Source organism: Homo sapiens, chromosome 17 (genome assembly GCF_000001405.40).
Source record: "Homo sapiens chromosome 17, GRCh38.p14 Primary Assembly".
NCBI lineage: Eukaryota > Metazoa > Chordata > Mammalia > Primates > Hominidae > Homo > Homo sapiens.
The window spans coordinates 58,666,203-58,691,665 of NC_000017.11; the positions used below are offsets into that span (position 1 = coordinate 58,666,203).

The window sequence follows — 25,463 nt, forward strand, 5'->3', positions numbered from 1 at the left end:
CATGGTGGTGCATGCCTGTAATGTAATCCCAGTTTCTAGGGAAGCTGAGACACGAGAATAGCTCGAACTCGGGAGGTGGAGGCTGCGGTGAGCCGAGATTGCTCCACTGCACTCCAGCCTGGAAAATAGAGCAAGACTGTGTCCCAAAAAAATAAATAAGGCAAAACCTAAAACAACCAAAGAAGGCTGAGCGCATGAATTCGGATGCCACTGCACTCCAGCCTAGATAAACAAAGTGAAACAAACCTTCCACGGCAAAAAAAAAAAAAAAAAAAAAAAAAAAAAGCAAAAGCTAATACACAACTAACAAAACTTGCATTTCAACTACCACAACCAGCAGCAAGTGCGAACGCAATCTCCCGCTACCACAAATTATACACTGTAGTTACCCACATTTGGGGAAATCGTAGGGATCAGCACAAAGTGCAACGAATAAGCCACACACAGGGAAAAACCACCTCCATAATCACAGTATTTCTCCTGACAGGTAATTATGAGGTACTTGCGTGACCCCAGCAATCCCCGGTGCCGCCCACATCATTGCAAGTGCGGGTAACTCCTGAAATGACTCTAATTGGACTTTATCCACATATAGTGAACAAAATAAACAGATTTTTTATACTATATCTTGGTGTTGGTAACAGAGTTGTGCAAATCCTTCCAAGGAACGCGTTTCCAAAATGCAGTCTTTAATCTACATACTCCACCTCCCGGCGTGACGTCATGCATAGGCCTGGCTGGTCAGAGAGCGCAACTGCGTTCTCATCTCGGCCCGCTTCCAACCAGCAGTTCCTTCTCCTGCTCGCGTCAATGCAAGTGACGTCTGTCAGGCCATTTTCCTGACAAAAACGCACCACCTCACTACTTTTGGCGTAGCCTAAGGCCTTCGGATCTCCCTGTATGGAGAGTTTCCTTGAGCTAACAGACGTGAATGAACTTTTAGTCACGGGATACCCACGCTGTGAACCACCCCGGCATCATTTCCTCTTATTCCAAGAAGGGGAACAGGGCATGCTAGCAGGCTGTACTGCAGAGTGGAGGGTTTTGGAATCCAAGATCTGGACTGCAATATAGCGTTCACAATGCAAGACTTTCGATGAGCTTATGGCCTCAACTTGTTCCTCAGTTTGTAAAACCTGCATTACTGTCCTTGGAGGAGTTTTTGTGAAGACTAAAACAAATACATTAACGAACAGCTTAAACCTTAAAGCATAATTATAACATGTGAGTCAGGCAACCCAATAAAAACCCTAAAGCAAACCAAGAAATACTAACAGCTAACATCTACTGTTTACCATGCATCTGGACTTTATGGTTAATCCTCACAACGTTGAGGTAGGAAATGGAATCATCCCCATTTCATGGATAAAGAACCTGAGGCATGACAAAGATTCTTTGCTGGCCGGGTGCAGTGGCTCACGCCTGTAATCCCAACACTTTGGGAGGCTGAGGTGGGCGAATCACTTGAGGTCAGGAGTTCGAGACCAGCCTGGCCAACATGGTGAAACCCTGTCTCTACTAAAAATACAAAAATTAGCCGGGCATGGTGGCAAGTGCCTGTAATCCCAGCTACTTGGGAGGCTGAGGCAGGAGAACTGCTTGAACCCGGGAGGCGAAGGTTGCAGTGAGGCAATGAGCCGTGATCATGCCACCGCACTCCAGCCTGGGCGACAGAGTGAGACTCTGGCTAAAAAAAAAAAAAAAAAAAGATTCTTTTCTTGTTTGCTTGGCCAAACCTTATTCAGGCTTCTGAACCTTCTCATAGGCCAGTCTGTGCATGTTCTTGTAAAATCCAGTTTTAGTAAAGGAACCCTGCTAAGTCAATTTAGCTGAAACCCAAATTCTCCAAATCTGATCAGGTTCCTCATCCTGCACCACCCCCCAGGTGATATCTGATCACCCCAGCCTGTCTTCAGCAAGAATCCTGTTAGATCAGTTTAGCCAGAATTCCTCTTACCCCTGATGTTTCCTCTTGGTAATTTTCTAACCACTGACCTCCACACTGCTCCTTGGCTACAAATTCCCATTTGCCCATGCTGTACTTTGGACTTGTGCCCAGTCTTTCTCCTCCACTACAAGACCCCATTGCAGCGGTCTCTATACCTATCCTGATGGTCCTGAACAAAGTCATCCTTACAGCAAAAAAGTGCACCTCTCCCAGCTACCAAAGCCTCTTCTACTGATGTGCCTGGAGGAGCTGCAGTAACTATAAACCCCTGCAAATGTGGAGGAAGTAACTGGAGCCTGGGTCCAGTCATGACTGTCTACTGAATCATCTTAGCCAATGCCCACTGAAGGCTCAGGGTGCTCCCAGCACAGGGAGAAGAACTTCACACACCTTAACTCATTTAATCCACTCAACAATTCTACAGAGTACACAATATCTCCATTTTGCATATGAGAAAACTGAGGCCAAGGGAGGCTGAAATGTGCCCAAGTGGTAGAGAAGGAATTAAAATCCATGTAGTCATCCCCAGAGAGGACTTCTTTTTTTTATTTTTATGCACACACAGACAAGGGTGACATCTACAGAAAATAATCTGGATCACCCAGAAAGCATGTGGCATCCTAGGTGAACTGCTATGCGAGGTAACTGGCCCAAGGGCTCTAGTCACCCACCCTAACATCCTACCCAAAGGCCCTGAGGACTGGGGGGTCAATATATTACATCACACAGTTTGAGAAGCTGTAGGGTGGAGACATTCTGGCAAGTGAGTGTCATTTGTTCCGGGTATATATCAAATTAGAAAAAAAGGCTGAGAACCACTGTTCTAGGTAGGCATAAAAAATGGAACCTGGCAATTATCAACACTGTATGAATGGAGGATTAGGGATACATCTGTATTGTGTAAAAAAGGGGGAGACAATGCCAGGCACAGTGGCTCATGCCTATAATCCCAGCACTTTGGGAGGGTGAGGTGGGCAGATCACCTGAGGTCAGGAGTTCAAGACCAGCCTGGCCAACATGGTGAAACCCCATCTCTACTAAAAATACAAAAATTAGCCAGGTATGGTGGTACACGCCTCTAATTCCAGCTACTCAGGAGGCTGAGGCAGAAGAATGGCTTGAACCCAGGAGGCAGAGGTTGCAGTGAGCCGAGATCATGCCACTGCACTCCAGCCTGGGCGAAAGAGCGACACTCTGTCTCAAAAACAAACAAAAAAAAAAACAGGAGGGGGTGTGGAGAGGAGTTTGTCATATTTGCTGAAAGTCACCAGACGATGGCTAAAGAATGTAACAAGCCAGCTGCTGGGCGTGGTGGCTCACGCCTGTAATCCTGACACTTTCGGAGGCCGAGGTTAAGTGGATCATTTGAGGTCAGGAGTTCGAAACCAGCCTGACCAAAATGGTGAAACCCCATGTCTACTAAAAATACAAAAATTAGCCAGGTGTGGTGGCGCATGCCTGTAATCCCAGCTACTCAGGAGGCTGAGGCAGGTGAATCACTTGAACCTGGGAGGCAGAGGTTGCAGGGAGCTGAGATCACGCCACTGCACTCTAGACTGGGCAACAGAGAGAGACTCCGTCTCAAAAAAAAAAAAAAAAAAAAAAAGCCAGCAACAGCTTGAGACTTCATTGAGGTTTAGCAAGAAGCACCCTCATGTGAATACATGTTAACAAAATGTCAGGAAGGAGCATTGGTGCTGCTCTAATCTAATGTTACTCCCTTGCCCAAAGCCCTTCAATACTCCTTACTGCCCTCTGGATAAAGCACCAACTCCATCCCACGCTCCTTGAGGCTCTGCATGGGCTGGCTCCATAGCTTTTCCAGCCTGCCTGTACTGTCCACCATACCGCCGTGGCAGCCACAGCTACAGCCGCAGCCTCTTTCCAGCCTCAGAGCCTTTGCCTGTGTAGTTCCCCTTGCTTAAAATGTTTTTACCCTGCCTCTCCTGACAAATCTAACTTCTCTTCCCACGCTGAGCTCCCTCTGTTATCATAGTAAGAGTCCTTTAATTTCTCTTTTAGTCTTTATCTTCAGTCCATTCATTATTCCACTGTGTGATTATCAGTCAGTTTCCTGGGCTAGACTACAGACTGTCGAAGGACCTGAGAGTTTTCATCTGTCACTGCTGGAGTCTCAGGCTAGCAAAGTACCTGGCATGGAGATTTCTGCCTATCTATCCATCTATCTATAGGATGTGTGTGTGTAATGATTAGAAAGCTAAGAAATGTGATAGAAAAGGAGTGTGAGAAGCCTAAATAAACTTTGGGAAGATTAAAAAAAAAAACAACAAACAGCTTTGGGAAGGTAAGAATAAGGATCAGGGACCAAGAAACTAAATTCAGCCAGGAGCCGTGGCTCACGCTTGTAATCCCAGCACTTTGGGAGGCTGAAGTGGGTAGATCACTTGAGGTCAGGTGTTTGAGACCAGCCTGGCCAATATGGAGAAACCCATCTCTACTAAAAATACAAAAATTAGCTGGGTGTGGTGGCAGGCACCTGTAATCCCAGCTACTTGAGAGGCTGAGGCAGGATAATTGCTTGAACCCGGGAGGTGGAGGTTGCAGTGAGTCAAGATTGCGCCACTACACTCCAGCCTGGGCGACAGAGTGAGACTCCCTCTTAAAAAAAAAAAAAAAAAAAAAAAAAAAAGTGACTATACTTAATATATTCTTGAAAATTCCTGAAAGCATATGTTAAGCATCTTTACCACAATAAAATGATAGAAGTACATACAGTAATGCATATATTAATTAGCTCCCTGTAGCCATTCCACAATGTATAATACTTCAAAACAACGTGTACACAATAAATATATACAATTGGGACACTGATTACCATTACATGTCCAAATATTGCTTCCACTCCACCTTCTGGAACTCTCATTGCATTTATCTTGACCCTCTCATTCTATTCTCTATCTCTTTGAAACTTTCTTGCATTTTCCCATCTCTATATTTCTTTGAGCTACATCCTGGGTAATTTTTCAGATCTGTCTTCACTAATTCTGTCTTTGGCAGTGTCTGCTGCTTAACCCATTCACTAAGATTATTATTTCAATTATTGTAGTTTCATTTTGAGAAATGAATAGACTAGAGAGGGTTTCTTTTGTTTCTGCCTGGTGCTGGGGGACATCACCAAGCCAGGCTAAAGTAACTTTTTGTGCCATCCCCTAACATATACACATAGCAGTATGAATTCTGGCCCATTTTGAGGGACTGTGAATGTGAGATAGTGGTGAAGATTTCTCTGCCCCTTCCCATTCTCAGGCTGAGGCTGAGACCAGCACATATCTCTAACATCTTTCTCTTGGGGAGGGGGCATTCCTCAGAACTGAGAGTGTTCTTCTCCTGGGGTCGCAGCTTTATAGAATGAGGAGGGACTCTCTAGTCAGACCTCCCACCCAGCTCAGGCCCCAAGCTTTGTCTCCTGCCTGTGGTCCATTAAAAGCCAGCCCCAGAGCTTCTAAGGATGGCCAATGTCCTTAGGAAATAGACAGGGTCCATCCCTGCCTTTCCTTTCTGGATTTGTTTCTTTCTCTGGGTCTCTGTGGATTTCTCTTTTTGCTAGATCAGAAATATATTTTAAAAACTCGTTTTCTTGTTCTATTTTCTCACCATTTTACATGTTTTGAGCTTACAAAAGCCTTCCCTGGACCTCAGGTCTACTCACTGCCAGAGAAGCTCATCCCTCAATTCATCTAATCCTTTAGACTTTCCACGCCATTTCACTCACTAGGCCCCTAGCCCCATCTCTCACCTACTTCATGCTGCAGCACAGCGTATTTCCTCTATCTTAGAGGCTCCCAAACTTTTTGGCACCAGGGACCAGTTTCATGGAAGACAATTTTCCATTTCTCCACGGATAACAGGGGGTGGGTGGGAATGGTTTCAGGATGAAACTGTTCCACCTCAGCTCATCAGGCATTAGTTAGGTTCTCATAAGGAGTGTGCAACCTAGATCCCTGGCATGCTCAGTTCACAATAGGTTTCACGCTCCTATGAGAATCTAATGTGGCTGCTGATCTAACAGGAGGAGGTGCTCAGGCAGTAATGACATCACCTCCTGCTGTGCGGCCTAGTTCCTAACAGGCCACCAACTGGTACCATGCTCCTTCCAGGGGGTTGGAATCCCCTGCTCTAACTGGTCCTAGAGCCAATCAACAGTCATCTCCTCTACTCCCATTTCCCCAGCACTGCTGGAGAAAAAAAGTTGCAGAATCTTCCAGCACTCTTACTCCAAATACTCCAAATTTATGCAAACTGCAACTACATCCTCACTGCTACTTGGCATTCCTTTTTTTGAGACAGAGTCTCGCTCTATCACCCAGGCTGCAGTGCAGAGGTGCAATCTCAGCTTGCTGCAACCTCTGCCTCCCAGGTTCAAATGATTCTCTTGCCTCAGCCTCCCGAGTAGCTGGGATTATAGGCACGCGCCACCAGGCCCAGCTAATGTTTTTTTATTTTTTGTATTTTTAGTAGAGACGGGGTTTCACCATGTTGGCCAGGCTGGCCTCGAACTCCTTGGCCACCCAAAGTGCTGGGATTACAACTGTGAGCCACCATACCCAGTCGGCATTCCTTTTTTTCTTTGTTTGTTTTGAGATGGAGTCTCGCTCTGTCACCCGGGCTGGAGTGCAATGGTGTGATCTCGGCTTACTGCAACCTTTGCCTCCTGGGTTCAAGCGATTCTCCTGCTTCAGCCTCCTGAGTAGCTGGGATTACAGATGCGTGCCACCATGCCTGACTAATTTTTGTATTTTTAGTAGAGATGGGGTTTCTCCATGTTGGCCAGGCTGGTCTTGAACTCCTGACCTCAAGTGATCTGCTAGCCTCGAACTCCCAAAGTGCTGGGATTACAGGCATGAGCCACCACGCTCAGCCGGCATTCCTTTTATACATACTTTTTTTAAAAAAAATTTCTTACAATTGAGTGGTTCTCCATGACAGTGGAGCCACTCCCAAAGGGAAATTTTGAAACTCTGAGGGGATGTTTTTGTTTCCCTGGGTAGTCATGCCAAGCCTTTACATATTAAAATATTGTATTGTAGGGCAGGGCGCGGTAGCTTATGCCTGTATTCCCAGCACTTTGGAAGGCCGAGGTGGGTGGATTATAAGGTCAGGAGTTCAAGACCAGCCTGGCCAATATGGCGAAACCATAAAAAAAAAATAACAAATATAAAAAATTAGCCAGGCGTAGTGGTGCACACCTGTAGTCCCAGCTACTCAGGAGGCTGAGGCAGGAAAATCGGTTGAACCCAGGAGGCAAAGGTTGCAGTGAGCCGAGATCACGCCACTGCACTCCAGCCTACACGACAGAGTGAGACTCCATCTCAAAAATAAATAAATAAATAAATAAATAAATAAATAAATAATTGTATTGTAACTTATTTTTCTCTCTCCTTTATATTTGTATTGTTTTGTTTTTGAGACAGGGTCTTGTTCTGTAACCCAGGCTGGTTGGAATGCAGTCACGCAATTTCAGCTCACTGCATCCTCAACCTCTTGGGCTCAGGTGATCCTCCCACCTCACCCTCCCGAGTAGCTGGGACCACAGGCATGCACCACCATGCCCAGCTAATTTTTTCAATCTTTTTTTTGTTTTTCTACAGTTGGGGTTAAGCCATGTTGCCCAGCTTGGTCTCAAACTTCTTGGCTCAGGCGATCCTCCCACCCTCCCAAAGTCCTGGGATTATAGACGTGAGCCACCCCACGTGGCTTCTCTCCTTCATATTATAGTTAGGACATATTATCTGTGGGGTAACTATATGTAGTTTATATTTTCTACAAACATCTTCAAGGTAGTAAATGGAATGTTACTAGTTCTTATAAAAGGAAACCCTGGGCCGGGTGCGGTGTCTCCCACCTGTAATCCTGGCACTTTGGGAGGCCAAGGCGGGCAGATTGCCTGAGATCAGGAGTTCAAGACCAGTCTGGCCAACATGGTGAAACCCCATCTCTACTAAAACTACAAAAAATTTAGCTGGGTGTGGTGGCATGCGCCTATAATCCCAGCTACTCGGGAGGCTAAGGCAGGGGAATTGCTTGAACCAGGGAGGTGGAGGTTGCAGTGAGCCGAGATCGCACCACTGCACTCCAGCCTGGGCGACAGAGCAAGACTCTGTCTCAAAAAAAAAAAAGGAAACCCTTGATTTGACAGAATTGAGAACCACAAACTAATCCTATTGAACCCACATCCTTTTCACAGGAGTGAGAATAACTTATTTATGATGAAAGTCCGGCCAGGCGCAGTGGCTCACGCCTGTAATCCTAGCACTACAGGAGGCCAAGGTGGACAGATCACTTGAGGTCAGGAGTTCACAACCAGCCTGGCCAACGTGGCGAAACCCCGTCTCTACTAAAAATACAAAAATTAGCTGAGCATGGTGGCTCAGGCCTGTAATCCCAGCTACTCGAGACGGAGAGGCACAAGAATCGCTTGAACCTGGGAGGCGGAGGTTGCAGTGAGCCGAGATCCTGCCCCTGCACTCCAGCCTGGGTGACAGAGTGAGAATCCATCTCAAAAAACGAATAGAAACACTAAGAAGAAAACATAGATGTAAATCTTCCTGACCTCCAATTAGGGAATGATTTCTTACATATGACATCAAAAGCACAAGTATAGTATGTCAATTATCCTTCAATAAAGTGGTTAAAAAAAAAAAAAGATTTATCTTCGATGAGGCCTTTGGAAAAAAAAAAAAAAAGGCAGGTAGGCCGGGCACGGTGGCTCACACCTGTAATCCCAGCACTGTGGGAGGCTGAGGGGGGGTGCATCACTTGAAGCCAGGAGTTTGAGACCAGCCTGGCCAACATGACGAAACCCCATCTCTACAAAAAACACAAAAATTAGCTGGGCATGGTAGCACATGCCTATAACCCCAGCTTCTTGGGAGGCTGAGGCATGAGAATCACTTGAGCCTGGGAGGTGGAAGTTGCAGTGAGCTGACATTGTGCCATTGCACTCCAGCCTGGATGACACAGGGAAACCATCTCCAAAAAAAAAAAAAGATGCAAATAGCCAATAAGCACACGAAAATATGTTCAATATTCTTAGCCATCAGGGTAATACAAATCAAAATCACCATGAAATACCACTTCACCCTCACTATGATTGCTAGAATCAAAATGACAAGTATCTGGCTATGGGTGGGCAAACTAGTTGATTTTCCCGAAAAAAGCTAAAACTACAAAGAAGATTGTGCCAAGCCTTGAGTGTGTTGAGCCCAACTGCAGAACAAAGAGAATGCTGGGTATTAAGAGATGTAAGCATTTTGAAGTGAGAGGAGATGAGAAGAGAAAGGGCCAAATGATATCCAGTTCTAAGTGTCATCTTTTGTTTTATAATGAAGACAATACAATATTGGGGTTATGTTCACATAAAAAAGTCTCCAGACAATCTCTGGCTCTTTCTAAAAATCAAACTATCTTTTAAATGGGTGAATTGTATGGTATAATATTAACAGATGGTTTCCCCATCTCCCTTCCCCAGACAGACTCCTGATTATGACAAGGACTATGTTCCAAGGGTATCTGCATTCCCCTCACCCAGAATAAGCTTTGTTTACAATAAGTACCCCATTATATATTGGCTGAATTGAATGAACTGGAAATCAAACTCAGGAAGCATTTCCAAAAGGATTTCCTTTAAACATGTTTTTAATTTTTAGAGACAGGTTCTTGTTCTGTCGCCTGGGCCTCCAAAGGTACGGTGATTACAAGCACGAGCCACTGAGTCTGGACTTTTTGCATTTTTAAATTGATATATCATAGTAGTATGTAAGCTTTTCCCTTTTTAAAACTACTATGGGCCAGGTGCCGTGGCTCACACATGTATATCCCAGCACGTTGGGAGGCTGAGGTTAATGGATCACCTGAAGTCACGAGTTCGAGACCAGCCTGACCAACATGGTGAAACCCTCTCTACTAAAACATAAAAATTAGTCGGCCAGGTGCAGTTGCTCACGCCTGTGATCCCAGCACTTTGGAAGGCTGACGCAGGCAGATCACCTGAGATCAGGAGTTCAAGCCCAGCCTGGCCAAAATGGTGAAACCCCATCTCTACTAAAAATAAGAAAATTAGCCAGGCGTGGTGGCAGGTGCCTGTAATCCCAGCTACTCAGGAGGTTGAGGCAGGAGAATCACTTGAACCCTGGGGGCAGAGGTTGCAGTAAGCCAAGATCACAGCATTGCACTCCAGCTTGGGCAACAAGAGAGAAAATCCATCTCAAAAAAAACCAAAAAAACAAAAAAAAACACAAAAAAACCCAGGCGTGGTGGCAGGCGTCTGTAATCTCAGCTACTCGGGAGGCTGAGGCAAGAGAATCACTTGAACCTGGGAGGCAGAGGTTGCAGTGAGCCAAGATCATGCCATTGCACTCCAGACTGAGCAATAAGAGTGAAACTCCATCTCAAACAAAAGAAAACAAAACAAAACAAAACCAACAAACTACTATGTCAGAACCTAAAGGTGATCATTCAAAGTAGTCATTTTAGAATGCAATGAATGAATTTCAATTCTATAGTCATTGTTAAGAGCAGGTTAAAATCCTTTAGGGGCCAGGTATGGTACTCATTTTTGTAATCCCAGCACCTTGAGAGGCCGAGGTGGGAGGATCACTTGAGGCCAAGAGTTCGAGACCAGCCTGGGCAACATAGCGAGACCCTATGCTACAAAAAGTTCTTTTAAAATTAGCCAGCTGACCAGGTGGGGTGGCTCACGCCTGTAATCCCAGTACTTTGGGAGGACGAGGCAGGCAGATCACCTGAGGCCAGTCTGGCCAGCATGGCGAAACCCCGTCTCTACTAAAAAATACAAAAAAGTAGCCAGGTGTTGTGGCGGGTGCCTGTAATCCCAGCTACTCAGGAGGCTGAGGCAGGAGAATCGCTTGAACTCAGGAGGTGGAGGGTGCTGGGAGCCGAGATCAAACCATTGCACTCCAGCCTGGGCAACAAGAGGGAAACTCCGTCTCAAAAAAAAAAAAAAAAAAAAAATTAGCCAGCCGTGGTGGCACATGCCTGTACAGCTACTTGGAAGGCTGAGGCAGAAGGACTGAGTCCAGGAGGTCAAGGCTGCTTTGAGCCATGATTGAGCACCACTGTACTCCAGTCTGGGAGACAAGAGCAAGACCCTGTCTCTAAAAATAAAAATGCTTAAAGGAAATCCTTCCTGAGTTTGATTTCCAGTTCATTTGACTCAGCCAACATATATGTGGTACTCATTGTGTACAAAGTTTATGCTGGATTAAGGGAACACAGCCAAGAAAAAACACCAAGGAAGCCTGTTACTATCACAAACTAAATAGTAGTACAGCTTCTCACTTCCATGGAAATTTAAAGACACAGTTCACAAGAAACAAGCAAGGAGAAGCCAAACACGGCCACAGACAATCACATTGGCTACTTCCCATTTGACAAAGAATAACACAGGGGAAAGTGTGAACACAGTCGCCCACTACCACAAATTATGCAGTTGAGTATCCCACATTTGGGGAAATCACAGGGGCCAGCAAACACAGAATGCAATGAGTGAACCTTGCCCTGGGAAAACCACCTTTGTGGTCAGGGTATCTTCCCTGCCCGGTAAAGTGGAAGGCATGGTTGTTGCCTGACATCTCACCCTCAGATTCAAAACACTCTTCACATAGGGTCACTCTTCTTGCACAAGTTCTAGCCTGCTACTTACAAGATAAAGACTTTTCCAAAGTTTAAGAGCCAGAAATGGCTGGGCACGGTGGCTCACGCCTGTAATCCCAACACTTTGGGAGGCCAAGGCAGGCAGATCACGAGGTCAGGAGTTCAAGACCAGCCTGGCCAACATGGTGAAACCCCATCTCTACTAAAAATACAAAAATTAGCCTGGCATGGTGGCGGGTGCCTGTAAGCCCAGCTATTCGGGAGGCTGAGGCAGGAGAATTGCTTGAACCTGGTAGGCAGAGGTTGCAGTGAGCAGATATGGTGCCACTGCACTCCAGCCTGGGCGACAGAGCGAGACTCCAACTCAAGGGGGAAAAAAAAGGGAAGTTTTTAGATGTGATTGATTTAAGATGAAAAGCTTATCCAGATGGGCCTAATGTAATCACAGGGTCCTTAAGGGAAGGACACTGGAAGACAGTGTGGCGATTCCTCAAGGATCTAGAACTAGAAATACCATTTGATCCAGCAATCCCATTACTGGGTATATACCCAAAGGATTATAAATCATGCTACTATAAAGACACATGCACGTGTATGCTTATTGCAGCACTATTCACAATAGCAAAGACTTGGAACCAACCCAAATGTCCATCAATGATAGAATGGATTAAGAAAACGTGGCACATATACACCACGGAACACTATGCAGCCATAAAAAAGGATGAGTTCATGTCCTTTGTAGGGACATGGATGAAGCTGGAAACCATCATTCTGAGCAAACTTTGCAAGGACAGAAAACCAAACACCGTATGTTCTCACTCATAGGTGGGAATTGAACAATGAGAACACTTGAACACGGGGTGGGGAACATCATACACCAGGGTCTGTCATAGGATGGGGGAAACGGGGAGGGATAGCATTAGGAGACATACCTAATGTAAATGACGAGTTAATGGGTGCAGCAAACCAACATGGCACATGTATACATATGTAACAAACCTGCACGTTGTGCACATGTACCCTAGAACTTAAAGTATAATAATAATAATAATAATAATAATAATAATAATAAAAGAGAAGGACACTGGAGCCAGGCGCCGTGGCTCACACCTGTAATCCCAGCACTTTGGGAGGCCGAGGCAGGTAAATCACCTGAGGTTAGGAGTGCGAGACCAGCCTGGCCAACATGGTGAAACCCCGTCTCTACTAAAAATACAAACATTAGCAAGGCGTGGTGGCGTGTGCCTGTAATCCCAGCTACTCAAGAGGCTGAGGCAGGAGAATCCCTTGAACCCTTGAGGCTGAGGTTGCTGTGAGCTGAGATTGCGCCATTGTACTCCAGCCTGGGCTACAAGAGCGAAACGCCGTCTCCAAGAAAAGAAAAAAAACAGAAGGACTCTGGAGGTCCACAAAAAGATATAAAGACAGAAGAAAAGTCAGAAGATGCTAAATTGTTAGCTTTGAAAAGGAAAGGGCTACAAACAAGGAAAATGTGAAGGTAACACTCCCTTAGAGCCGCCAAAGGTATTCAACTGCGTACTTCTGATTGTAATGGCAAATCACTGTAGTACTCAATGACAACACCAACCACGAGGGGTGTGAGACCAAAAGCGTGTGTGGAGAAAAAAATGACCATTAGAAGGCATCAATCTCTCGCTATTCCAAAACAGGAGGTTACAATATAACACAGGAAAACCTACGAAGCAAAGATACAACGTACGCCTTTTATAAACAAGCCAGATCAGGGGAGAGAACCAACATAGTCCCCACTACCACAAATTATGCAATTAAGTTTCCCACATTTGTAGAAAACCACAGGGGTCAGCACATCCACAATGCAAGAGACAAACCTCACCCTGAAAAATCCACCTTTAATGATCATGTTATTTCCCTTGCCAGTTAAGTATGAGTCCCCAGCGCTGCCTGAGAGTTCACCCTTAGATTCAAACCACTCTAAATATAGGATCATTTTTCTCATGTGCTCTTTAGACCCCCTAATTTCTGGAATAAAGATATTTTCCAAACTACAATAACCCAGCACCTGTATTTTTAATATCTGGCTATTCAAAATCTTAAGAAATATAAGCCTAGGGTGCAAATAGCCAGCAGTCACTGCGCTTATCTACATACTCCACACCCCTTTGGATGATCTCATTCAGTATGTCCTTTCCTAGTATGCTTGGTGACACGACTGAAATAAAACTTAAAAATGCTCTACAGATTAAAAGGTAAATAACGTAAACTAGCTCCTGCCTTTAAGGGTTTGGCACTAATGATGCCACTATGGTGTCTTTTTTCTTTTTTTTTCCCCCCAGAGACAAAGTCTTGCTTTGTTGCCCAGGCTGGGGTACAGTAGTTATCGAACTTCTGGCCTCAGGGGATTTTCCTGTTTCAGTCTTCCCCAGCAGCTGCAAAAACAGGCGCGCACGGCTTTCTTGCGCAGTTAAACAAGCTGCTATACACGTAACCTGAGTAAGTTTGAAAACATGAAATTTGGTAAAATTATTTCTGAAAATCCAGTCTACATATCTGAAAATCCAATCTCTGTATAGGTTACCTACCAGTCCAAAGTGTCATGCTTACATACAAAATGCTGTCTTTCAAACATGCAGCAAATGATCAATCTTACTTGAAAGATCAATTGCACAAACGCTAATTCTAATTTTGAATGAAGCAGGCCGGACGCTGTGACTCCTGCCTGTAATCCCAGCCCTTTGGGAGGCCAATGCGGGCAGATCACTTGAGGTCAGGAATTCGAGACCAGCCTGGCCAACATGGTAAAACCCTATCTCTAATAAAAATACAAAAATCAGCTGGGCATGGTGGCAGGCACCTGTAATCCCAGCTACTCAAGAGGCAGGAGAACCTCTTGAACCTAGGAGATGGAGGTTGCAATGAGCTGAGATCACGCCGCTGCACTCTAGCCTGGGCGACAGAGCAAGACTCTGTCTCAAAAAAACCCCACAAAAACCAAAAAAACAAATTAGAATTGGAGTTTCAGAGTTAACAGTGTTCTTCAATTGTCTTTCCAAGATCACACTAGAACCACCCTAATATCCCACATCTTTTATTTTACAGAAGGACTCTTCTGGTATCTTCTCTTCTGCCAAAATAAATTAGCCAGAGTTTATAACTTTTTTTTCCTTGTCACTGACTTCAAGCTCACGGTTTTCCATCTTTACAAAAGGAAGAAATAATGCTGTTTTAAAAATCTTGGGCCAGGTGCAGTGGCTCACACCTGTAATCCCAGCACTTTGGGAGGCTGAGGTGGGTGGATCACCTGAGGTCAGGAGTTCAAGACCAGCCTGGCCAACATGGCGAAACCCTCTCTACTAAAAATAAATTAGCCGGGCATGCTGGTGGGCACCTGGGTACTCGGGAGGCTGAGACAGGAGAATCGCCTGAACCCAGGCTGCAGTGAGCCGAGACTGTGCCATTGCACTCCAGCCTGAGCAACAAGATCGAAACTCCATCTCTAATGATAAATAAATAAAAATGAAAATAAAAATCTTGCTAAACAAGCAACAACTGAGAACATAGAGGTGTCTTAGATGGGGAGAAAAAGAATATTGGGACAAGGAGGTAGGGGATTCTGTGATGCAACCAGACACTTGTTCTCAAGTCTGATGTTCTGACAGTCTATCAGTTTTATTTTTATATACTTTCCTTTTCAAAGAAGTATTATGTAATATATATATACATACACACATATGTATATGTATGCTCTATAAATTGTCAACATTTTGTTTTGTGAAATAAAACACACTTTGAAATCTGGTTGGAGGGCTGGTCGCAGTGGCTCACACCTGTAATCCCAGTACTGTGGGAGGCCGAGGCAGGTGGATCATTTGAGGCCAGGAGTTCGAGACCAGCCTGGCAAACATGGTGAAACCTTGTCTCTACTAAAAATACAAAAATATCTGGTGGTGTGCATCTGTAATCCCAGCTACCCAGGAGGCTGATGAAGGAGAATCGCTTGAACCTGAAAGGCAGAGGTTGCAGTGAGCTAAGATCATGCCATTGCACTCCAGCCTGGGTGACAGCAGGAAACTCTTGTCTCAAACAAAAAAACAAAAAAAAAGAAAAGAAAAAAGAAATCTGGTGGAACAACTCATGTAAGGGAAAAGGTAATGTATGTGAACTATACTGCCATTACCACCAAACAATTCTTACAACCAAAATGCCAGTTTCAGAAGATTTGTGACTAGCAGTGCCTTCTTCAGGCTAGAGTGCAGTGGCACCATCACAGCTCACTGCAGCCTTGACCCCCAGGGGTCAAGTGAGCCTCCTGAGTAGCTGGGACTACAGGCACACACTACCATGTCTGGCTAACTTTTGTATTTTTTGTAGAGAGGGAGTTTCACCATGTTGCCCAGGCTGGGCTCAAACTCCTGGGCTCAAGCAATTGACCCGTCTCCGCCTCCCAGACAGTTGGGATTAGAGGCATGGAACCACCATGCCCAGGCCACAGAGTCTTTCTTTTTTTTTTTTTGTGACAGAGTCTTACTCTGTCGTCCAGGCTAGAGTGCAGTGGTGCCATCTCAGCTCACTGCCACATCTGCCTCCCAGGTTCAAGCGGTTCTCCTGCCTCAGCCTCCTGAGTAGCTGGAATTACAAGCACATGCCACCATGCCCGGCTAGTTTTTGTATTTTTAGTAGAGATGGGTTTTTGCCATGTTGGCGAGGCTGGTCTCGAACTCCTGACCCCAAATGATCCACCTGCCTCAACCTCCCAAAGTACTGGGATTACAGGTGTGAGCCACCACGACCACTCCTCCAACCAGATTTCAAAGTGTGTTTTATTTCACAAAACAAAATGTTGATAATTTACAGGCCCACCTCAGCTTCCCAAAGTGCTGGGATTATAGGCGTGAGCCACCATGCCCGGCTGCCCAGCCTACAGAGTCTTAAGTGGCTCATGAATCCTCACAAGTCCCAGTTTCAATGTTTCACAAAAATTTCATTGCTATTGGCCTAGTTATCAAAATATCTGTTCAAGGGAGTCAGCCTTAGGCAAAAAGATGTCTGTCCTCCACTGCCTTGTAACTCTAAGCAAGTTAAGAAAAATGTTACTGTTATAATCCTCACAGAGGTCCTGCATACCTTAATATCCTTTGAGAAGAGCCTCATTTCTTTGATTAGAAAAAAATGAGGAGCTGGATGCGGTGGCTAACACCTACAATCCCAGCACTTTGAGAGGCCAAGGTTGCAATGTGTCGAGATCGCGCCATTGCACTCCAGCCTGGGCGACAGTGCGAGAGTCTGTCTCAAAAAAAAAAAAAAAAAAAAAAGACAAAAATGAGGAAAGGCTGAGCACGGTGGCTCACGCCTGTAATCCCAGCAGTTTGGGAGGCTGAGGCGGGTGAATCACTTGAGGTCAAGAGTTCAAGACCAGCCTGGGCAACATAGCAAAACCCCATCTCTACTAAAGATACAAAAATTAGCTGGGCATGGTGGCACGTGTCTGTAATCCCAGCTACTCCGGAGGCTGAGGCAGGAGAATTGCTCGAACCTGGGAGGCGGAGGTTGCAGTGAGCTGAGATCACACCACTGCACTCCAGCCTGAGTGACAAAGCAAGACTCCATCCCCCCCCCCAAAAAAAAAAGGAAATATATGTTTGTTAAATACTAACATAAGTAAACATATAAAATCTTTATAAACTGAATCTAGTAGATTATTTAAAAAGAGACAGAATTGGCCAGGTGCGGTGGTTTACGCCTGTAATCCCAGCACTTTGGGAGGCTGAGGCAGGCGGATAACCTGAGGTCAGGAGTTCAAGACCAGCCTGGTCAACATGGTGAAAACCTGTCTCTACTAAAAATACAAAAATTAGCCAGGCATAGTGGCTCACGCCCGTAATCCCAGCTACTCGGGAGGCTGAGGCAGGAGAATTGCTTGAACCCGGAAGGCGGGGTCTGCAGTGAGCTGAGACTGCGCCACTGCACTCCAGCCTGGGCGACAGAGCAAGACTCCAGCTCAAAAAAAAAAAAAGAGAGACTTGGTCAGGTGGAGTGGTTCCCGCCTGTAATCCCAGCACTTTGGGAGGCTGAGGCGGGCGGATCACAAGGTCAAGATATCAAGACTATCCTGGCCAACATGATGAAACCCCATCTCTACTAAAAATACAAAAATTAGCTGGGCGTGGTGGTGCATCCCTGTCATCCCAGCTACTCGGGAGGCTGAGGCAGAAGAACTGCTTGAACCCGAGAGACGGAGGTTGCAGTGAGCCGAGATGGTGCCACTGCACTCCAGCCTGGCTACAGAGCGATAGGACCTACATATATAAAAGTATACGATAAAGGTAACATTTCATATAGAAGGGGAAGGAACTGATTATTTCAAAGACTGCTCAGAAAATTAGGTCACAACTGGAAAGAAAAAAAAATGCTTCCGCCCGGCATGGTGACTCACGTGAGCCTATAATCCCAGCACTTTGGGAGGCCTTGGCGGGTGGATCACCTGAGGTCAGGAGCATGAGACCAGCCTGACCAATATGATGAAACCCCATCTCTACTAAAAATACAAAAATTAGTGAGGCATGGTGGTGGGTGCCTGTAATCCCAGCTATCTGGGAGGCTGATACAGGAGAATCGCTTGAACACGGGAGGCGGAGGTTGGAGTGAGCTGAGATCACACCATTGCACTCCAGCCTGGGCAACAAGAGCGAAACTCCGTCCCAAAAAAAAAAAAAATTGCTTCCATATTAGCCGGGCATGGTGACACGTGCCTGTTCCCAGCTACTCTGGAGGCTGAGGCAGGAGAATCACTTGAACCAGGGAGGCAGTGGTGGCAGTGAGAAGATCGTGCCACTGCACTCCAGCCTGGGCGACAGTGAGACCCTGTCTCAAATAAATAAATAAATAAATAAATAAATAAATAAATAAATAAATAAATAAAAAGCTTTCTTCCTCCTACCACTTATTTTTTAAAAACTCATATAGATTAATAGGGAGGCAGAGGTGGGCAGATCACCTGAGGTCAGGAGTTCGAGATCAGCCTGGCCAATATGGCAAAACCCTGTCTCCACTAAAAAATACAAAAATTAGCTGGGCGTGGTGTCTCACACCTGTAATCTCAGCTACTCAAGAGGCTGTGGCATAAGAATTGCTTGAACCCTCAAGACAGAGGTTGCAGCAAGCAGAAATCATGCCTAGGTGACAGAGCAAAACTCAGTCCCCCAAAAAATCATATAAATAGTCAAATGTTGAAGGAATGGATGGTTAGAAAATAAAATTAAAAATTAAAAAAGATTCAAATGTAGATCTAAACCATATGTAGAAATAATACGAATGAAAAATCCATTTATAATTTTGTATAGACCTTCTAAACATGTTACCAAAGTCAGAATACAAAAATTGAATACATTAGATTTGGCCTAGTTTTGAAGGACCTGTTTTGAAGCACGTTGGGAGGCCGAGGTGGGTGGATCACCTGAGGTCAGGAGTTCAAGATCAGCCTGGCCAACATGGTGAAACACCGTCTCTACTAAAAAAATACAAAAATTAGCTGAGTGTGGTGGTGCACACCTGTAATCCCAGCTACTCAGGAGGCTGAGGCAGGACAATCGCTTGAACGTGGGAGGTGGAGGTTGCAGTGAGCCGAGATCACACCACCGCACTCCAGCCTGGGCAGCAGAGTAAGACTCGGTGTCAAAAAAAAAAAAAAAGAATGTCAGATTTGACAGATAAATAGTAGTTAATTAGGTGAAGGAGGGAGAGGTAATATTATAGACATATGCAAACACTGTTGAGGGATGAGGTCTAGCACACACAAGGAACTAAGAAAAGGCCAAAGTAGCAGGAGTATAGGAAGCAAATGGGAAAGAGGAAAAGGAAGAAGGTAAAGAGGAAAAACAGGGGCCAAAACATGCAAGCTTTTTTTAAGCCTTATTAAGAAATTTGGTCTTTATCCTAAGAGCAAAATAAGGCGAGGTGCGGTGCCTCATGCCTGTAATCCCAGCAGTTTGGGAGGCTGAGGTGGGTGGATCACCTGAGGTCAGGAGTTCAAGATCAGCCTGGCCAACATGGTGAAACACCATCTCTACTAAAAAAAATACAAAAATTAGCTGGGTGTGGTGGTGTGCACCTGTAATCCCAGCTACTCAGGAGGTTGAGGCAGGACAATCGCCTGAACATGGGAGGTGGAGGTTGCAGTGAGCCGAGATCACACCACCGCACTCCAGCCTGGGCGACAGGGCAAGACTCTGTCTCACAAAAAAAAAAAAAAAAAAAAGATCAAAATAAGGAGTGACATAACTGAAATGTACTGTAAAAAGATCATGCCAGGAGGATCATGGTGGCTCGCACCTGTAATCCCAGAACTTTGGGAGGCCGAGGAGTCCTTGTGACCAGGAGTTCAAAACCAGTCTGGGCAACACCTTGTCTTTACAAAAATTTTTAAAAATTAGCTAGGCACGGTGGCATGTGCCTGTTAGTCTCAGCTTCTTAGGAGGCAAAGGCAGAAGGATCTCTTTCTTGAGCCCAGGAGTTCAAGGTTGCAGTGAGATATGATTATGCAGAGTGAAAGGGAAGGAGGTGTCAAGGATGATTCTAGGTTTATGGCTTATGCAAATGGAAGGATGGATATGTGGTTCATGGAGGCAGGAAATGCAGGAAGAGGGCAAGGTTCTGGGAATGGGGTGAAGGTAATGAGTTAGGCTGAGTTGGAGGAGACTTTGAATTGTCCAGTAGGCAATTAGATATTTGCATCTGGACGGCAGAGGGTCAGGGCTAGAAATACAAATTTGAGAGTCACTGCCATGCCCAGGTTATGGAGGATGTGCTTGCAAAGCAAACAGAAAAGCCAAATATGTAGAAAGGAAATCAGAAGTGTGGCATTAAAAAAGCCAAGTAAGAGAATGTTTCAAAGAGTCGTGGACAACAAATACATATTGGGCTTCTATTATGTATAAGGTCCTGTAAAATTGATACTGCTAGTATATATGTCTGAGGCCTTAAAGAAGCTTTATCATAACCACCTCTAAAGCTATGCCTTTATTCAGAGGTTTTTCTCCTCAGTCTGAACAACATTGACTTCTTTCTCCTATTCCCAAACCCACTTGAACATGAAAGGTCACCTTTTTTTTTTTTTTTTTTTTTTTTTTTTTTGAGATGCAGTCTCGCTCAATCACCCACCCTAGAGCGCAGGGGAGGGATCTCAGCTCACAGCAACCTCCATCTTTGGGGTTCAGGAGATTCTCCTGCCTCAGTCTCCCGAGTAGCTGGGATTACAGATGCCCACCACCACACCTGTAGGGAGCTGAAGGCCCATGGGATGTGACCAACTCAGCATTCCACTGGAGGCTCTATGATCAAACACCAAACTGTTAATCATGAATGCAGGATGTGAGCAAACTCACGACTGCTCCTGCTGACAGAAGATTTGCTGGAGGCAATCACTCCCTGGCACTGAGGTTATCCACTGCGACATCTAGAGAATGCGGTCTTGCAAGCCTACTCTGGACTCAGCAGCTGACCCCTTCTCCCACCTCCCTTCTCACTATCTCTTTTACCTAATAAATACAGAAGGCTGTGTAAAGCTCAGGGCCCTTGTCCACTAGAGGCAAGGTACCCCCTGACCCCTTCTTCCAAATATACTCTTTTGTCTCGTCTTTTATTCCCGCATTTGCCCTCCTTTGTTCAGCCCATAGGTCCGTGCGGGTTACAGAGTGGTGCCCTGATCAGCAACAGAATCGGGTGCTCTACCCACACCTGCCTAAGTTTTGTATTTTTAATAGAGACAGGGTTTCACCATGTTGGCCAGGCTGGTCTTGAACTCATCTCAAGTGATCCACCCACCTAAGCCTCCCAAAATGCTGGGATTACAGGTGTGAGCCACTGCACCCGGCCGTGGTCACCATTTTTTAAAGTTCTATGTTCTTAGGCTAAAAAAAAAATAAACTTCTCCCCAGCTATAACAAAAATTTCATATTATTCCTCTCCTATGTCTCCAGAAACAGCCTAGTCAACCTGAAAATGTCTCGTTATTGGAATACTCTGACAGGTTAACTATAGACATTAACAGCAATAGGTCCTTCCTACCCTTAGAATTACATCAAGATAGCTACACAAGTCAGAAATGCAACATGTCAGAAATACTCAATAAAGATCCTGATAGATTATAAGCTCCATGAGGGCAGAGAATCTATCTTGTTTACCCTGTCATCTGGCACATAACTAGCATTTAATCAATATTTAATCTTGTTTTAGTGATCTAGTCTTCAGAGTGCTAATCCTGAATGTAGACCCCAGTCATAGGATTACTGTGGATCAAGTCAAAGAAAATAAAATATATAAAAGTACTCTACTTCGGCACTTTTACAATTATAGACTTTTTTTGTTTTGTTTTGTTTTTGAGACTGAGTTTTCCTCTTGTCGCCCAGGCTGGAGTACAGTGTCATAATATCGGCTCACTGCAATCTCTGCCTCCCATGTTCCAGCAATTCTCCTGCCTCAGCCTTCCAAATAGCTGGGACTATAGGTACCCTCCACCACCCCCAGTTAATTTTGTATTTTTAGTAGAGACGGGGTTTTACCACATCGCCCAGGCTGGTCTTGAACTCCTGACCTCAAGTGATCTGCCAGCCTCAGCCTCCTAAAGTGATGGGATTACAGGTGTGAGCCACAGTGTCTGGCCTAATTGTAAACATTTTTAAAAAACGTCTCAGCATTAGCATTCTGCTGAGCTAGGTATTCTATAAGGATTTATTCCAACTGAATATGCGCATTAGAATGCTGTAAAAACTGAGAAACAGACTCAGATTTATTATGTACTTTTTTGTGTGATAAGTACTGTATATGTGTTAATTTAATCTTGACCAAAACCCCAGGAGATATTATCTTCTACTTGCAGGTGAGGAGACTGAGTAACTTGCTGAAGGTCACATAGTTGGTAACTTCCAGACATGTGATACAAATCCAAATCTGTGTGACTCCGCAGCCCATGCTGGTTTGCCCATAGCAATGTCTCTCAAATTTTTTCATGAAGTAACCTCAAGTTGCAAGAAAAACCAAAACATATTCCCGGGGGGGGTTTGGGAGATTACTGAAGTATCCAGTTTAAGCCTGATGTGTCTCTGACCTCATACTTTTCTCTTAAATTTTATTTTTATATTTGCATTTTACCCCCACATTTTGTTTTTATTTCTATACATATATTTTTTTTTGAGATGGAGTCTCGCTCTGTCACAGAGGCTGGAGTGCAGTGGCATGATCTTGGCTCACTGCAAGCTCTGCCTCCCGGGTTCACACCATTCTCCTGCCTCAGCCTCCCAAGTAGCTGGGACTACAGGTGCCTGCCACCACACCCGGCTAATTTTTTGTATTTTTAGTAGAGATGGGGTTTCACCGTGTTAGCCAGGATAGTCTATCTCCTGATCTCGTGATCCGCCCACCTCGGCCTCCCAAAGTGCTGTGAAACAGGCGTGAGACATCACGCTCAGCTAATTTATTTATTTTTAGAGGGAGTCTCTCTCTGTTTCCAGGCTAGAGTGCAGTGGCCTGATCTCACTCACTGCAACCTCTGCCTCCTGGGTTCAAGCTATTCTCCTGCCTCAGCCTCCTAAGTAGCTGGGACTATAGGCACACATCAACATGCCCAGCTAATTTTTGTGTTTTTAGTAGAGACAGGGTTTCGTCATGTTGGCCAGGATGGTCTTGATCTCTTGACCTCATGATCCACCCGCCTTGGCCTCCCAAAGTGCTAGGATTACAGGAGTGAGCCACCGTGCCCGGCCTACCCCATGTTTTATTAAAGTTTATTTTCTTTTTCAAAAATTTTAATGATTTATCCACACTACACAGATGTAATGTCTGCTTAATATAAACCATTTCAAATGACTTAGGTAAATCATTTAACTCTTCCCTCCCTGAAAGATTTTTTTTGAGAAAAGTGATTACACAAGAAGGTGCACCTTCCATATTTATCCCATAGCTTTGTTTAGTTCCTAGTGCGTGGTTTCAAAAACCTGGATCCCAGTTTGAAAGCATGACTACAGAGCAAATTGCATTAAAGACATCTTAAGAATGATGATGAAAATAATTATTATAGGCAAGGGCCAGAAGATTTTTTTTTTTTTTTTTTCTGAGATGGAGTCTCGCTCTGTCGCCCAGGCTGGAATGTGGTGGCGTGATCTAGGCTCACTGCAAGCTCCGCCTCCTGGGTTCATGCAATTCTCCTGCCTCAGCCTCCCGAGTAGCTGGGACTACAGGCGCCCACCACCGCACCCAGCTAATTTTTTGTATTTTTAGTAGAGACGGGGTTTCATCATGTTAGCCAGGATGGTCTCGATCTCCTGACCTTGTGATCTGCAGAAGATATTAATAGCACTTAAATTATACAGCTATAGATAGAGTTGAGTGGGGGTTTTTTTGTTTTTTTTATTTTGCTTTGTTTTGTTTTTGAGATGGAGTCTCGCTCTGTCGCCCAGATTGGAGTGGAGTTACGCAATCTCAGCTCACTGCAACCTCAACCTCCCGGGCTCAATTGGTTCTCCCACCTCAGCCTCCCAAGTAGCTGGGACTAGAGGCATGTACCACCATGCTGGCTAATTTTTGTATTTTTTGTAGAGATGGGGTTTTGCCCTGTTGCCCAGGCTGGTCTCAAACTCCTGAGATCAAGCGATGTGCCCTCTTTGGCCTCCCAAAGTGCTTGGATTCCAGGCTTAAGCCACTGTGCCAGGCCAAAGTAGTTTTGAACTTTCCACTGTCAACGAAAGAAATTCTAAACACGACTGATTCCACTGAGTTTGACCAAACTAACTGAAGACTTATTGTTGAATGTGGTAATACCATGTTTTTTCTTCACCCAAGAATCTGGGTGCTTTATAAGCATAAGCATGAAATCTCCCTGAAGATAGTATTTATGCATCCACTGAGCGCTCAAATATAGACCATATTAGAAGTTAAGCAATGGGTTGAGTGGCCAACCACATTTTGGCCAGTCCTACAAGACTTTCTTTGACCTACCAAATGGGGTATAAATGCTTCTCGTATTCTCCCCGCCAGTAGGGACTCAAAATCTTAATAGCTCGGGGTAGTAAAAAGGATGCTAGGTTTGAATCTTGGCTTTAAGAAAACTGTGCTGAGGTGTTTTGTTTGTTTGAGACAGGGTTTCACTCTATCACCCAAGCTGGAGTGCAGTGGCGTGATCATAGCTCACTCCCAGGCTGAAGGGATCCTCCCACCACAGACTTCTGAGTAGCTGGGACGACCGGTGCATGCCACCATGCCCGGCTAATTTTTTGTACTTTTGGTACAGACAGTGTTTCGCCATGTTGTCGAGGCTGGTCTCAAACTCATGAGCTCAAAGAGATCCACCTGCCTCGACCTCCCAAAGTGCTGGGATTACAGGCACGAGCCACTGCGCCCGGCCAGCTTTTTTTCTTTTATCAGAATTGATATTAAACTATATGCTGAGCTTCCATGTCCTTATCTTCCTTTTGGCATGGCTATGGCCATTTGAAATGTGTGGGATTTGCTAAAGTGCTCAACATACGTTGTTTCCTTTTTTAGATCTAAGTATGTAGAGGGCTCTGATTTGCAATATTTAGAAAGTTCTTCTAAGCTGGGAAGAAAAGTCAAGACTAAGAATCATTGCCAACAGGGCCGGGCGCGGTGGCTCACGCCTGTACTCCCAGCATTTTGGGAGGCCGAGGCAGGCGGATCACGAGGTCAGGAGTTCGAGACCAGCCTGGCCAATATGGTGAAACCCCTTCTCTAATAATAATACAAAAATTAGCCGGGCATGGTGGCGTGCGCCTGTAATCCCAGGTACTCAAGAGGCTGAGGCAGGAGACTCACTTGAACCCGGGAGGCGAAGGTTGCAGTGAGCCGACATCGTGCCACTGCACTCCATCATGGGCAACACAGTGAGACTCTGTCT

At 45.1% G+C, this 25,463-nt stretch overlaps 2 protein-coding genes and 3 pseudogenes across 4 annotated transcripts in view, besides 1 other annotated feature; all 5 read right to left on the reverse strand.

Moving 5' to 3' along the window:
- TEX14 (testis expressed 14, intercellular bridge forming factor) overlaps nucleotides 1–25,463 on the reverse strand; it is a 135,368-nt gene that overhangs the window by 109,525 nt on the left and 380 nt on the right. The gene's annotated exons all lie outside the window — the stretch shown is intronic.
- IGBP1C (IGBP1 family member C) overlaps nucleotides 1–25,463 on the reverse strand; it is a 31,622-nt gene that overhangs the window by 5,779 nt on the left and 380 nt on the right. The window lies entirely within an intron of this gene.
- On the reverse strand, nucleotides 335–495 carry RNU1-108P (RNA, U1 small nuclear 108, pseudogene; annotated as a pseudogene).
- Nucleotides 3,134–3,183: an enhancer, noted in NCBI's record as "active region_12489". NCBI's record gives its function as "activates an Ori minimal core promoter by ATAC-STARR-seq in GM12878 lymphoblastoid cells {active_cell/tissue: GM12878}" and the evidence as "EXISTENCE:reporter gene assay evidence [ECO:0000049][PMID:35858748]".
- Nucleotides 11,372–11,535, reverse strand: RNU1-52P (RNA, U1 small nuclear 52, pseudogene; annotated as a pseudogene).
- Nucleotides 13,325–13,488, reverse strand: RNVU1-34 (RNA, variant U1 small nuclear 34; annotated as a pseudogene).